The sequence below is a fragment of the Homo sapiens genome, chromosome 10, assembly GCF_000001405.40.
Source record: "Homo sapiens chromosome 10, GRCh38.p14 Primary Assembly".
Classification (NCBI taxonomy): domain Eukaryota; kingdom Metazoa; phylum Chordata; class Mammalia; order Primates; family Hominidae; genus Homo; species Homo sapiens.
In genome coordinates, this window is record NC_000010.11 from 96,674,064 (window position 1) to 96,690,383 (window position 16,320).

Below are 16,320 nucleotides of genomic sequence, written 5' to 3' on the forward strand. Positions count from 1 at the left end.
GGTGTGATGCTTCTTGGCGAAGGGCTTAAAGAAATATGAAACAAGATGGCATTCCAAATTCTGCATAAATATAGGCCAAAATTAAAACTCCTTTAACCCAGGAGTTGCTGGCCTTAGTGGTCCAATATTAAAATCAGGGCTATTAAGGCCAAGACTCTAAAGATATTCTACAGTATTTCCTAGCAGCACAAACGCAATTACTAACAGATTCTGGAAAAGCACATTCAGCTAAGCCACAGAAGACCTGGATTCAAGTCCCATCTCTGCCACTTCCTGGGTAATCTTGATATTTCTAAGCTTCAATTTCCTCTCCTTTAAGATGGATTTATTTATGCCTGCCTGGTTTGTTGCACAGGCTTATTGGAATTAAGTGATCAACATGCAGAAGCCCTTTGAAAACTGAAAAGTGCAAGACAAAGTTAAATCAATTAGTGTTGTTTATCTGTTGACCAAATTTTTCTTCTACTAGACTGTGATTTCTCTGAGAACAGATTTCCTGACATTCATTCATCTTTGTATCCCCAGGGCTTAGAATATAGTGAGAAATCAATAAATACTTCTTGCATGAATGGATGAATCGATGAATGAGATAAGACCAACCACCTAAGTTACTAGCAGGGAAAGCAACACCTCAGGGAGGACCACTGTAAGGCTTTGTGCCTGGAGGCTTTTAGTGTGGAATCTGGAGAGAAACAGGAAACTGTTTAACCCTCTAATTTATGATACCAGCGTGAACCAAGCTTCGCTGAAAATTCTGCATGGTACACTGTGTTAGTCCCAGTCTTCCGAGAAACAAAAGCTAAAATGAGATTAAACATACAAGGTGTTTTGTTTTGTTTTGTTTTTTGAGACGGAGTCTCACTCTGTCGCCCAGGCTGGAATGCAGTTCTGCAATCACGGTTCACTGCAACCTCCACCTCCTGGGTTCAAGCAATTCTCCTGCCACAGCCTCCTGAGTAGATGGGATTACAGGCATGTGTCACCACGCCCAGCTAATTGTTGTATTTTTAGCAGAGATGGGTTTTCACCATGTTGACCAGGCTGGCCTTGAACCCCTGACCTCAGGTGATCTGCCTGCCTCAGCCACCCAAAGCGCTAGGATTACAGGTGTGAGCCACTGCACCCGGCCATATAAGGATTTTGTCAGGGAAAGTGCCTGGGAAGGAAAATGGGGAGGGAGGGTGGGAAAACCTTGTAGCTGTCTGAGCCCAAATGAATAAGAGGGGGAAGGAAGGTTGGGTGGAAGCGTCCTAGACCACTGAGCAGGCTAAGGAAAGTTGTGCAAATCTGTCACGGAGTCTTCAAACAGAAGTTGGCCACTGGCAAATCTTGCGTCTTCCGGAAATGGGCCTAGTATCCCTGCCATGCTCAGTTATTGACTGGGAGCAGCCTGCAGGAAGCAGGGCCTTGGTCGAAAGCTATGATGGATTCAGAGGGTGGCACAGGAGCCCTTGGTCGGTTCTACTCCCAGCAACTGGAGATCTGCCAGGCATATTCTCATGGCCACCACATACATGGCAGTGCTTCAAAGCATGGAGTTTAGGGTCCATGTAAATGAATTGAGTCCCTGCTATTACTGGATGGCTATCTTGGGCAAGTTACTTGATCTCCTAAAGCCTCATTTTCCTTATTTATAAAATAGAGATTATAATTCCTACCTCTCAGGACTGTTATTGTTGAACACTGTGTCTGCCACATAGTAAGTGCTCAATAAAAGGAAGCTGTCATTTCTCTGTTAATATTAATAACAATAATAATAATTTATTATTCACAAAGTACTTCTATTAGCAGTTAGGACCTAAGAACAGCCCCCACTGTTGCATACTCGTATTAGAATTGTATAAGGCCATCATAGGGACGTGGGACATGGCCTAAAACCATAGTTTGGCAGTATCACAATTCAAACAACCAAACCAGTTTGCCTACAAATGAAAGGTCAGAGGGACTTTCCCAGTTTGGCTCTTTCCATGAGGGGTTGCCAGGGTGGGTTGCATTGTGCCAGAATCTACCTACAACCACAACTCCTCTCCTGTCTTCTGTTTGCCGTGGTTCACTGGCAGTGTCCTCAGCCTGTCCCATGCCAGCTGTGAAGCCACATCTGTGTCTGAAAGCAAGCATTCTCAGGAACTTTCACCCCAAGAACAGGATCATCCTCAGGCTCTGAGAGACAAGACTCTGCTATGCTGTATCCATTGTAAGCACCTATCTCAGGACTCTTTGCTTGTCTTTATCTGTGTGACCTTGCTTTTTTTTTTTTTTTTTTGACTTTGGCCAACTGATAGTGGTCATTGCTGGCTACTGCTGGCCGGTGGCCCCTACATCTTACCAGAGTCACAGAGTGTCCCCTTGTTGGGCTGGCTATGACCCGAGGTCATTACAGATTTCATGGCCCCAACTGAGCCAGCTCGGGCCTCTCCCAGCCTTGCTGATCCTCAGGTCTTAGTGACAGAAATGACCAAGAATCCAGACATAAGGAACTCCAGACACATGGAAGCCAGGCTCTTACCTCTTTCACTGTTGCCTTAGAGGCCTTTTTTCCAACTCCCTTTTCCAAGAAGGTCACCAAAAACACACACGGGGATTTTCTGGGGTTTTTTTTTTTTTTTTTTGAAAGAATGACCTTGAGTTATTCCAACTGAAAGAGTCCAAATTAAACTTAAAAACATTGATTTTGTTTAATAATTAACAGCTTACAAAGCTGGTCAAGTTGTATCTTCCAGAATAATCATCTCCATTCCACAGGGACTTCTTTTCTAGGGAGTTTTAAGTTTCCGTATTGAGCTGGAATCTAACCCTTGAGCTGCCGGTGTCAACCTGAGATTGGACAGCATAGGGCACAGACTCAAGGACGGACTGAACCCTCCCAACCAAGCCAAACTAGGCCTTTCCATCTGAGGAAAGAGGGGGTCATGCTGGGGTGGAGGGAAAGCCTCAGGGCAGGAGAACAGGCCGCCCACTCTTCACACAGCCTCCAGCAGGAGCACCGAGCCCATCTCTGAACACGGTTTGTTTTTCTCCACTGGTCCTCCAAGCCAGAGTGAGGAAGGGCTGAGCCCACCTGATGCCAGACATGCCCAGTGTTTGAGAGGGGGAACTGCCATCATCAGGGAGAAACACCGATTCAGCCATCTTCTGCCCCCGTGACACATAAAAGTATTGGCAAACTCAGTAACTAGCCTCAACACAACACCTTCTTTTGCCTCTTGTTTGCATTTATCCTTCCCACCAATTGAAAAACCAATCATGTTTGGTTTCTTTGCAAATCCAAATTCTTTAAGAAATGATACCCTGAAGTAAAACTTGGGCGTTCTCACACTCATATCCCGAGGTCAACTGTTCAAAAACCCACCATTCACCACTTGGCCTTGGGTGAGCCACTTCCCCTGGCAGAGTCCAGTTGTCTTCCTCTGTATTAAGACAGAGTGGAAAATAACTATGTGATTTCTGAGGGTCTGTCCTGCCCCGATGCTCTTTAAGTCCACTGGCCTTGCTAACTACCTCCTCACTAAGCACATACACACACACACACACACACACACACACACACACACACACACACACACAAAAGGCCTTTGACCTTCTGTAAACATTTATCTCCAACAAACACAGTTTGGTCACGTGCAATACAAGATATGAAGTGAGACAACACACTTTCCGGTTTAGAATCACAAGCGTGAGGACAAAACATGGTTTTCACTGTTCATTTAGGTACAGTTATAGAAACCACTGGAAACCTAATCAACATTGGGATCAGGATCAAGAAGAATCTGTCCCAGGGGTTCTCATCACCTCAGAGGGAGGTGAGAGTTTTTGCAAAGGTCTTGCCAGAATGATGAATTAGAATAGAGAAATTGTGTAGCTTTTAGAAGCATAGCCAATATTATATTACAATTTTATTTATTTATTTATTTTTAGAGACAAAGTCTTGCTTGCTCTATTGCCAAAACTGGAGTGTAGTGGTGTGATCATGGCTCACTGCAGCCTCGACCTCCTGGGCTCAAATGATCCTCCTACCTCAGCCTCCCGAGTAGTTAGGACTACAGGCATATGCCACCACATCCAGCTAATTTAAATTAAAAAAAATTGTAGGCTGGGCACAGTGGTTCATGCCTGTAATCCCAGCACTTTGGGAGGCCGAAGTGGGCAGATCATCTGAGGTCAGGAGTTCGAGACCAGCCTGGCCAACATGATGAAACCCCGTCTCTACTAAAAATACAAAAAATTAGCTAGGCGTGGTGGCACACACCTGTAGTTCCAGCTACTAGGGAGGCTGAGGCAAGAGAATCGCTTGAACCCAGGAGGCGGAGGTTGCAATGAGTCGAGATCACACCACTGCACTCCAGCCTGGGTGACAGAGTGAGATCCTGTCTCAAAAAAAATTTTTTTTGTAAAGGCAGGGTTTATCCATGTTTCCCAGGTTGGTCTCGAACTCCTGGGCTCCATGGATCCTCCCACCTTGATCTCCCAATGTGCTGGGATTATAGGCTTGAACCACTGTACCTGGCCTATACTATAATTAAAATTTTAAACTATTATTTTAATAAATGCACTATAGAAGGAGGGTGTGAGTCAAAAGGGAGCATGGGTTAAAACAGGTAGAAAATTCCTTCCTTGGGATCTTGCAACCTATGACCCACCTCTCCACCACTCCTCTGAGCCTCTGTGCCCACTGCCTCAACACCTTCCTCCTTTTCACTTTTCCTTTTCATGATATTGTAGTCCTTTGTATGTAGTGTTTTGCCAACCCTGCAGTCACAATATAGTTTATTTCCTCTTTGTTCAGGTTCAACAACCTTCCAAAAGTAGAGACACAGACCCCTGTAGGGGAAGAGGAGAGCGACCCACTAATACCAAGTAGGCAAGGAGCACCTGGAAGGTTCTCATACACAAAAACCTCCCCCACCTCCACATTCAACTAATAAAAGCTTCATCTGAGTTATCACACTGAGGATGATGCAAATGCTCTGGGGAAGGTTCAGCTTCACAGACAGTCACACTTTAGTAAGAATTATTTTTGAATCTTAGATGATCAGAATTTGAAAGAACCTGAAGAATCATTTAGTGCAAATTACACTCAAGGATTTTTTTTTATCATGGTCAACCTCTACTTGAATATTACAGAGACAAGAGCTCCCTTCTTGAGTCTACTCCACTGATGTGCATTTTGAATTATTAATATCTGGGCTGGGTGCAGTGGCTCCTGTCTAAAATCCCAGCACTTTGGGAGGCCAAGGTGGCTGGATCTTTTGAGGTCAAGAGTTTGAGACCAGCCTGGCCAACATGGTGAAACCCCGCCTCTACTAAAAATACAAAAATTAGCCAGGTGTGGTGGTGGGTGCTTATAGTCCCAGCTACTCAGGAGGCTGAGGCAGGAGAATCTCTTGGACCTGGGAGGCGGAAGTTGCAGTAAGCCGAGATCTCGCTGCTGCACTCCAGCCTGGGCGACAGAGCAAGACTCCGTCTCAAAAAAAAAAAAAATTATTAATATCTGTGAAAGCTCATCCTTATCTTTAGTCCAACCTTGCAGAATCTGTTAAGATAGTTCTGCTGCAAGCAAGAGAAATCCCAACTCAAAATGCCTTAAACATTAAGGACATTTATCTCCTGGAATCCAAAGCCCAGCATTCAGGCAGGTTTGGGGTTGGTAAGTGTTCAGCCACAGCACCAAGGTCCCAGGTTCTTCCCATTTCTCTATTCTACCATCTTCAGCACAAATTCTCAAGCTGGTGGCAAGACGGCTGTGGTAGCCACAGGTTCACTTCACAACAAGGTCCAGAGGAAAAGAGAAAAATATTCCCACGAGCATGGAACAGAAACTCTTCCCTTCATTCTGACTGCTCCAACTTAGTTCACATGACCAGTCACTGTCCCCAGGGGAGTGCCATGCAATCCCCAACCTTGTAATCACCCAGGGTGGAAAGAGTGATGGGACTCCCACTATCATGTCCACCCTTCCTTCCTCTCAGCAACCTCCACCTCAAATAGAGATCTCCCTTACCTTGCAACTCAGAACACAGCCTCAGCCCTTTCCAAAAAATGGTGCATAAATGGTTCCAAGCTTCTTGGTTGTTCTTCTCTGGACATATTCTAGTCAGCCAGTTTCCTTCTAAAAAGGTGGCACCCAGAATGGAACACCATTCTTGGTAGAACATACTGAAATTATTCTAGGACAAAGGAGCCATTCTCTTATTAAGGTAGCTTAATACTGTGGTAGCTTTTAGCGGCCACATCATACTATTGATTTTTTTTTTTTAACTTTTAAGTTCAGGGGTACATGTGCAGGTTTGTTATATAAGTAAATGGATGTCATGAGGGTTTGTTGTACAGATTATTTTGTCATCCAGGTACTAAGCCTAGTATCCAATAGTTATTTTTTCTGATCCTCTCCCTCCTCCCACCCTCCACCCTCAGGAATGCCCTGGTGTCTGTTTCTCCCCTCTATGTATCCATGTGTTCTCATCATTTAGTTCTCAGTTGTAAGTGAAAACATGTAGTATTTGGTTTTCTGTTCCTCTGTTAGTTTGCTAAGGATAATGGCCACCAGCTCCATCCATGTTCCTGCAAAGGACATGATCTCATTCTTTTTTATGGCTGCATAATATTCCACAGTGTATATGTACCACATTTTCTTTATCCAGTCTACCATTAGTGGGCATTTAGGTTGAGTCTACGTCTTTGGTATTCATACTATTGATTGCTTTTTAACAGGTAGTCAACTATAAATCCTGCAATTCACTTTCACATGTTGATGCCATGTTGGATTTCTGCTGTGCTGCACTAGTTCAATTGCATTTATGGACCTAAAAGCAGAACTCAGGATTATCATATTGAACTAGATCAAGACAATGTTGAATAATGCTTCAGTCACTCAGTGTAAAATCTACCCAGTCACCTACGAGTGTTATCCATCAATAAATCTGTATTCATTTGCTAGGGCTGCCATAACAAAACACCATAGACTGTGTGGCTTAAACAATAGAAATTTACTTTCCCACAATTCTAGAGGCCACAAGTCCAAGATCAAGGTGTCAGCAGGGTTGTTTTTTTCTCGGGCCTCCCTGCTTGGTTGCAGATGGCTGGCTTCTCACTCTGTCCTCCATAATTTCTCTTCCGTGTGTGCACACATCTGTGTCCTAATCCCCTCTCCTTCTAAAGACACCAGTCATATTGGATAAGGGCCCATCTATATGACCTCATTTTACCTTAATTACCTTTTTAAAAACTCTATCTCCAAATCCAGTCGGGTTCTGAGGTACGAAAGGTTAGGACTTCCAAATATGAATATAAGGTAGACACAATTCATCCCATAACAAATGTGATGTCTGACTTCTGTGTATGCCTCAAAGTCAGAGAATAACTGGCCACGAAACCTAAACCAGGGCTGCTGGCTCTCCTCTAGACACTCCCTCAAGGACGACCATTAATCCAATTATTCTCTCATATTATGCTGAGATCAGTCTCTTTGGAGAGCAGATTTCAGCTAGGTTTGGGAGAGTGTTGAAGAGAAAGATCATTCTGGAAACTTGGGCCCAAAAGGGGGCTCTAGTAGGATGTTTCCACAGTCAAAGTAGGTGACTCTGGACATGAAGGCACCGAACCGGAGGCTGCTGTGCAGAAGATGAGTCATAATGGAGAAGGGTAAGGGAAGAAGAGCTGGAAGGTTATCAGAAGGCAAATTTGGTGACTTCCCAATTTTACTTAGGACATGGGTAGCAGCAACTGCATCTGGAACACTTTTAAAATTATCCTGAGTGCCTGTATCACAGAGTGACTATGCCTGTATGCAATTACCCACGAGGGCAGTGATGACCACATTTTGCTCAGGGACTTAAAGATCCAGGTTTTTATAGATGTGTTAATGAAAAGTAATTGGTATACTTTCTCACTCTTATAGACTTTAAAAAATATGCATACATAAATATATGTGTGTGTATATATATATATATATATAGAGAGAGAGAGAGAGAGAGAGAAACAAGGGGGGGATGCACTATTAGAGCAACTGCACACAAATACTAGAGAATGAAATAGCTAGCACTATAGAGTAAGATTTCGATAAACAAACACCTGTTCATAGATCAGTTACTCCTGATCCTTAAGTGTCCCTTCTTAGATTAAATGGCTTAACTTAAGGGGCAAAGCCTGCTCTCCAGGTTGATTTACAATTCTAACGATTGAAGCTTTAGGGTAACTTGATGTTATTACTCCTCTGCTGATTTTTTTTTTCCTTTCCTTCTTGCTGGTAAGAGCGGGTACTCAAAGGATGGGAATCGTGACTGCAGGGTCATCAAGATGGCTGAGTCCAGCTCCTGCATCTGTTGTTTGAAGCTCCTTTCCCACATGCCAAATGCCTACTTCAAACCAATGACACTGGCACATGGGAGTTCACCTTTGCAAGAGCTGCCTTCTCTCCAAGGATGCTTTCCCGTCTTCCGTTTCCTCAAGGAAGAAATCAAGGGAAAAGGGAAGCACCTTTCTTCCTTCCCTGCTCTAATTTGTACCGTCTCCCCATGATGAGATAAGCCTGTGCTGACTGATACCTGGGTGTGGAGCGAGCTGCATGTGACCCCGTCATTCTTTTTTCTTTTCGCCCCATTAATAGATGCTTTTTAGCCACTTCACCAACTGACCCCAAGCCTCACCTCTGGTCTCTAATCAAAACCTTAACAGGGTTTTCCATAAACTGAAATTTACATTCAATCATCACCATAGCAACCATCACACAGAATTAGATACAACTTTTCCATCTCTGATGTAATCTACTTTTTTAAAAAGAGCTGCTTTCCTCTTCAATTGCAAATCCAAGCTATTCAGAAGATAACCATTAAAAATCTATTTTGAAAAAACTACATTTAAACAGACTGTAGCAAGGTTCTTAAAACAGGTATTTGAAGTAGTTTCTAGACACTTAGTAACATACACTTATTCCCCCAAATGGTGGCCATCATTGCACAAGTCTCCAGGATTTGGTCCAGTGTTAAGAATCGAACAACGCTTCTGTGAAAATTGTCACAACCAAAACTTAAAAGGTGCCCTGAGATAACAACTGCAAGCCAGGGCATACAATTCTGTTAATTTCTAAAGGATGTCCGCATCATGTCTAAAAATAAATAAATAAAACAAGGTTGGACTGTTCAGTGTGTAATTGGCAAATCCCCCAAAATTTCTGGAATTCACCTAGTCATCCAAGAGGAATTATTCAATTGCTAAAGTGGCTTAAGACTGTGAGAATAGGCAACTGTAAGGAGAGTACGCCACAGATAAAGAGATAAATCCTCATTCAAGGAGTCTAAATGTTTCTCACTCTATGAGTACAATGCTGTAAGAGAGGCCTTGAATATTCAGAGATGTTGGAAATGTATTTCAGATTTAGAAAAAGGTAAGAAAAGACACTTTCAGAAAATGTACTGACAAAAAAAAATCTACTTATGACACTAATCCCACTAACAAATTAATGAAGCCCACCCATCTCATCACTTCTATACATCTCATTCCATTGCTACTTAGAATCCCAGAAACTGGGCAATTCAGTTGTATTGAAAATTGAGATAATAAAATCAAGTCATTTTCCATAAGCCAAATCATTTTATTCTATGTATTTACAGCCGAACTATGATGTAGTGATAGTCCATTCATTTAATTCATTCATCAAGCATTTATTGAGCACTAGATGCTACTACGTGCTGAGAGCTGCATTTAATAAAGATAAGTGACATATCATCCAAGACCTCATTACTTTTCTAATTCATAGGATGGCAGATGTTTTATGCCCAAATGTCAGGGAAATTGTAATCCATTTCCTCTGAATAAACATTCAAGACTGTATATATAGGAAGTAATGCTGGTCACATGGCTGTGCTACTCATTGTAATAACTCCAGTCTGGACACTTGAATTAGACTGATGGCTAACAGTCTACCACTTTTATTATTAAGACCTGGTAGGCCTCACCACAGGGCATTTATTTTGAGATTTCTGAAAACGCCCTGACTTAGTTCCAGTGCCATTCTGCCACTTAGGAGATAGGGCTGAATTCCACCCCAAATGACAAAGAAACTCCTCTAAATACTCCTAACAGTTAGGCATTGTGTAGAGCAAAAATAAGCCATTCTTAAAGCTTCTCAGCCATTCTTTTCTATTAAAGACCATTGGCATAGCTAGTTAGGCAATGTGAGCAAGGAGTGGGTTATTTCCAAATAGTTGCCAAAGTATCTTACATGCCCAGAAGTGAGAAGTCTTGCATATTAAGTGTGATAATATATACAAGAAAAACGCTAGTCCAGGAATGGGATGCTGGTTTCCTCCCAGGTGCCAACTCTAGTGGAACGGCAGTGGATGGCCATTCCCCTGAGCGAGGCTTGTGCTGAGGCCAAGGCCCAGCTCAGTGAGACAAGATGTCTTGATTCACCCACAAAGTCTGATCTGGGAGCAGACAGGCTGTGCTGTACAATGTGTTCCACTGTCCAAGGCAGCCTGGACCATGCTGCAGGGGGAGAGGCAGACCTATGCCACTGAGTTACTGGAGAGAGTTTGCAGAAATAATCAGAAAGAACATCCCAGTGCCTTCAAAGACCAATGAACCTGTGCTGGCAATCTTAAGAAAAACTTTGAGGTGCAATTGGCAGAACTTAAGACAGAATGGGTACCTTCCAAATGGTTGGAAAAGATAAGAGCCAAACAAATATATTCCATACTGAAATTTTAAAAAAACTTCACCAAGAACCATCAGCAATGGAAAACCTAAATAAGATCACAAAAATTAAAGATCAGAGCAGTTGAGGCGGCACTCTCTGATAGATGTTGCCAATTAACAGGACAAGCTGAGGATAAGGATAAAATCCTTTTGTAAGAGTTGAACCAATACATGCATTGCAACCAACACCAGATTCTTGGTTTTTTGTTTGTGTTTGCTTTTTTAAAAGATCGGTAGGAAGATCACAATCTCCCCAACACAGCCTCCTAGAAATGATGCAGACGTGTGGCTTTTGCGGAGGAAGGAAGCAAAGAATGTTTTGGTTATCTTCTGTAAACTTATACTGCTTTTGAAAAATATAAATAAATATATCTACAAATGCCACAAAATTCAGCTTATGAGTTATTTATGCTGTGATTTTCTTTTTTAGAGTTCCTTAGATAACCAGTGTCAAATCTAAAATGATCCTTGCATGGTTTGGGAGTGGTCATTCCAGTGGTCATCAAATTCAAGATGCACAAACCCATCGCTGGTATGAACTAGGCAAAGAGAGAGCACCTCCAAATCTCCCCCATCCTGGTACTTCATTGTTCAGGTCCACAAAGCTGGGAGGAGCAGAGGCAGCCAGGCTGTGGTTGGGCAAGAAAGGACACAAACCATCTTCATCTGCCCACAGCCCCTGGAGCCATAGTTGGGCTGGTAGCCAATGCTGATGAAATAGCAGACACAAGCCGTGGGTGAGGAAGGTGGTGGCAAGGAAAGAGGGGAGATGTGTCTCCATTCACCATCTCAGTTACATCTCCCACAGCCCTGCGAGGTGTGCATTTTCACTGCATTTTACCCACAACTGAAATGAAGCCTATGAAAGTCTTGCCCCATAACCCAGAGCTGGTGACTAGAGCCAGGATTAGAGTTCTGCAAAACTGAATCTTAGGCTTGCGGCTTTGGCCAACTGAGTTCCTTCATATCCAGGGTCCATGTCCACATGTCCTGGTCCGATGCAGCAGTAGGGAACTAAAGAGTTAATTCTGACAACACAGGGCAGAGCATGGAGGCATCTTCAGGGATGACATGTGTGCCCATCCCTGCTGAGTAGTAAGTCCCAGATGCTGAAACTAGCCACCAACAGACTAATGCCCACACACTGGCTGAGCTCCTGAGACCCTGGACAGCAGGGCCTGTCTTTGCTACAGAATCTGTAATCCCTCTGCCACGTCCCATATAGCACCAAGTCCTCACTAAATTCAAGGGGTGGATGTTTAATAAATACATATTAGTGGGAGGGCAGCAGAAGCACCTGAGGCAAATATGAAACTGCATTTGATGCTTTATTTAGATCATGAGTGTTCCAAAAGCATTTTTTTCCTTCACAATTCAGGATGTAGGCAGTCAACGCATATTTTTGTCAGATAATGACTATCACCCTAACCAGATAGTAATTTAATCACTCTGTTCCAAAGCTGCTTCAGCGGAGAACTAACTAAAATATCTGTGCTCCAAGACTTCAACCCAACAGCCAGCCAACTAAACAGCATTTACTAAGATCTCTGAGAGCCCACACTGTGCTAAGCAAAAGGAAAATCCCACAGAATAATATGTGGGCCCTGCTCCTACTGGATTTACACACTCTAGCTCGGGAACCAAACTGGAATTCAGGAGACAATTCGATAAATGAGTTTTACCCGTGGATGTACCGCAAATGAGCTCCACAGGAGTCCAGAGCAAAGAGAAACCACAGGTAACAGAATTTGAGTTGGATGGGCTTAGGCAGTGGGATAAAGAAGAAAGACAAAAAAGATACAGATTTTCCCCCAGCCTCTTAAGAACATAACAGCATTTCACAGTATCCACAAGAGCACCCGTAGCTTTCATGATATTCACCCAGTCAGCCCTCAGCATTGTGCGGCTGCTTGACTAGGACTACTTTATGCCCCGACCATCCTCTGTTAAATACAGAGACAGCACAGTCAGGTTCCTGCAGACTGCGTGTGCAGCTGTGCGTCATATCTCTTCCACTCAACATCTAGAATGCAAATCCAAACCAACTTGGTTCGTTAACATTTACAGAAAAAATACATAAAATTTCAACATGGATCCCACAATGGCCCACTCTGCCCTGTGAAGGGCAGGATGGATGGAGGTGGGTGTGCCCAGGCCGTGCCTTTGAAAGCCACTGCCTTGAACGCTCCTTTTTCCCTCTGTGTTTTAGAAACTGATCTCTTGATCTCTGTTAGATGACTCTGATTAAGATCTCCTCCTTTCAGACCGAGGCGGGTGGATCACAAAGTCAGGAGATCGAGACCATCCTGGCTAATACGGTGAAACCCCGTCTCTACTAAAAATACAAAAAATTAGCCGGGTGCGGTGGCGGGCGCCTGTAGTCCCAGCTACTCGGGAGGCTGAGGCAGGAGAATAGTGTGAACCCGGGAGGAGGAGCTTGCAGTGAGCCGAGACAGCGCCACCGCAGTCCGGCCTGGGCAAAAGAGCGATACTCCATCTCAAAAAAAAAAAAAAAAAAAAAAAAAAAAAAGAAAAAAGATCTCCTCCTTTCAAGGATGAATTGGAGCCTTCTTTGATTTTGCATCCCTAGCACAGAGCCTGGTCCATGGTGGGTGTTTGATAAATAGTGAATTAAGAAAAACATCCATTTGTCCAGGCCCACCCCGTGAGTGCCAATCTCACACTTCCAAATGTCCACTCTGCAGTGATTTTGGGTTGTGTAATCATTACCAGATCAGCACTCCTGAGAGTGAATGCCCAACCCTCCTCCAAAATTAGCTGCCCCTGTAGACTATCATTTCTGTCAGTGACATCATTCTTCCAGTCACCCACGCTCAAAATCTTATCTTCTTGTCCCGCTTTCTCTATTTTTCCCATTGAATTTCCCTCCTAAATCTCGTACACGTATCTCTTGCTTTCTAATCCCAAGGCCACCATCCGTTGAGGCCCTAACCACCCTCATGCCTGCATTAAAGACCTTGTGCACTAACTTCCTCCACAACTCAGGGAAGCATGTAAACACTAGACCCACCCTTCCTTCCCTTCCTAGTCTGTGGAACTCACCACTGCTCTTCCTTCCTCCGCATGAACTGCACATGGAGCCTGCCCATCCCTCTCTGCCATCAGCCCTGTCCCTGCTTTATCCTAAGGCCTGAGCCTGGAGTGGCATCTGGGTAGGCAACGGTTGGGAAGCTAGTTAGGGTGACTTATTCACAGAGCTGGTTTGGAGCAAATCTGATGGGGAGGCATGAAGGGGTGGGGGACAGGAAATTTCCCTTGAAGAAGCCTTGGCAGAGTAAGCACACTCTTTCTCTTCAACGTTATGTTTATGTGCCAGGGGGCTACTGCAGATTTAGGGACAAACAACTCACCCACCCACCCACAAGCACCTCATGGCATTTTCACTGTTGATTCGACAGGCACTTCAGGGCCTTTTGCTCCTCCCAGCCAATGTCATTCCCCACCCAGGATGAAGATGAGGCCTTGCAAAAACACACCACCTGAGCCCTCTAAAGTTCATAAATAGTGATAGTAAAGGGGGTTGGTGATAAGAATCAAAGGGCGAGGATAAGTCACAGGAACTTAGCACTTGATACTATCTCAATAAAATACGAGGCCATGGAAATGTGCTATGATATATTCCTCAGAAAATGTTTATAACATGGCTCTCATTTCTTTCTAAAATTAATTTTCTAATTAAAACATAAAAATTACATATATTTATCATGTACACCATGATGTTTAAAAATATGCACACATTAGGCTGGGCGCGGTGGCTCACGCCTATAATCCCAGCAGTTTGGTAGCCCGAGGCAGGTGGATTACTTGAGGTCAGGAGTTCGAGACCAGCCTGGCCAACATGGTGAAATCCCATCTCTACTAAAAATACAAACATTAGCTGGCGTAGTGGCACATGCCTGTAGTCCCAGCTACTCAGGATGCTGAGGCAGGAGAATCACTTAAACCCAGGAGGCGGAGGGTGCAGTGAGCTGAGATCATGCCACTGTACTCCAGGCCTGGGTGATAGAGCAAGACTCTGTCTCAAAAAAAAGAAAGAAAGAAAGAAAGAAAGAAAAGAAAATATGCATGCATCATAAAGTGGCTAGATCTGGCTAATTAAAATACGCATTACCCCCACCCCCCATCTTTCACGTAGGTAGGATCTACATGTGCTTATCTCTACATCCAACCGACTAAAGAACAAGAGATAGCCCTTTAGCTGGACCATTTCCATAGTTTCTCCAAATGCCATTTTGGTCACATTGCTGTCCCAGGCAACAGAAGGCCCTCTGAGATAAAATGGGTAAGGCTCTTACCACATCCTGATGTTGAAGGTTCTTCTTCCACTGACTCAATATAACCTTCATAATCATTTTTCCCCACTATCCCAGACTCAGGCCACTTCTCAGCCCAAATGCAAACGCATCCTGTGCTTTCCTCTCCCTGTGCCTTGCCCATGGAGTTCCCTCGTCCTGGGATGTCTTTCCCTTTAATCCTTACCGATGCCTCTTAAAATCCAACCCTCCTGGCCGGGTGTGGTGGCTCACACCTGTAATCCCAGTACTTTGGGAGGCCGAGGCAGGCGGATCATGAGGCCAGGAGATCAAGACCATCCTGGCTAACATGATGAAACCCCGTCTCTACTAAAAATACAAAAAAAAAAAATTAGCTGGGCGTGGTGGCGGGCGCCTGTAGTCCCAGCTACTCAGGAGGCCGAGGCAGGAGAATGGCGTGAACCCAAGAGGCGGAGCTTGCAGTGAGCCAAGATCGCACCACTGCACTCCAGCCCGGGCAACAGAGCAAGAGCAAGACTCTGTCTCAAAAAAAAAAAAAAAAAAAAAAAATCCAACCCTCTTAAAATCCAATCCTTTCTTTCAGTGTCATCCTCTCCATGAAGTTTTCAACTGTCCACCCCATTGAAAGCCCTTTCTTATTTTGCAGATTCTATGTACATGCCAGTCCCACAGCAGGCAACTTCCATGCTTAGGAACTGAACTCACCCACTGAGTTCTCCGTCTTCCCTCTACCCCACAATCATGCACCATGTCCTGCTGGTCCTGTCTGCTTTTTACCCCTCCAAAGTGTTCCTTCTTCTCCTTACTCACTGCCCCTGCTCAGCGCAGGCCCACAGCACCTCTCCCCTGAAAGAATGCAGCAGCCACGTGCCCAGGATCCAGCCTCCAGCCTCCAGCCCTGCCTGACATGGCCATTCCAGGTGTCAGTGTTCTCTCTTAAATCTAGTAGAATTCTGTTCTCTGTTACTACTGTCCAGGAATCCTAATCTGCCCTTCAGAGCATCTTCAGACTACACTGTGCTTATTTCCGCATAAAAGTCCTTCACGTGTTTGAAGGTAATTATCATGTATCTCCTTGGTATTTTCTTCTTTAGGAAGACAGCAAAGTATAGAGGATGAAACTCTGAGTTCAGTGTTGGAGGCCTGGGGCTTTTGATTCTAACCAGTTGAGTATCCTTGGGCAGGTCATTTGTCAATGCTGAGCCTCTGTCCCTCAGTTCCACCCCACCCCAAGTCTCGCTCTGTCACCCATACTGGAGAGAAGTGCAGTGGTGCAATCACAGCTCACTGCAGCCTTGACCTCCTGGGCTCAAGTGATCCTCCCACCTCAGCC

At 44.2% G+C, this 16,320-nt stretch overlaps 1 protein-coding gene across 4 annotated transcripts in view, besides 1 other annotated feature; it reads right to left on the reverse strand.

Annotated features, from left to right (window-relative positions):
* The window catches only part of PIK3AP1 (phosphoinositide-3-kinase adaptor protein 1), a 127,200-nt gene that overhangs the window by 80,749 nt on the left and 30,131 nt on the right, over window positions 1-16,320 (reverse strand). The gene's annotated exons all lie outside the window — the stretch shown is intronic.
* Window positions 4,714-4,973: an enhancer, noted in NCBI's record as "active region_3834". NCBI's record gives its function as "activates an Ori minimal core promoter by ATAC-STARR-seq in GM12878 lymphoblastoid cells {active_cell/tissue: GM12878}" and the evidence as "EXISTENCE:reporter gene assay evidence [ECO:0000049][PMID:35858748]".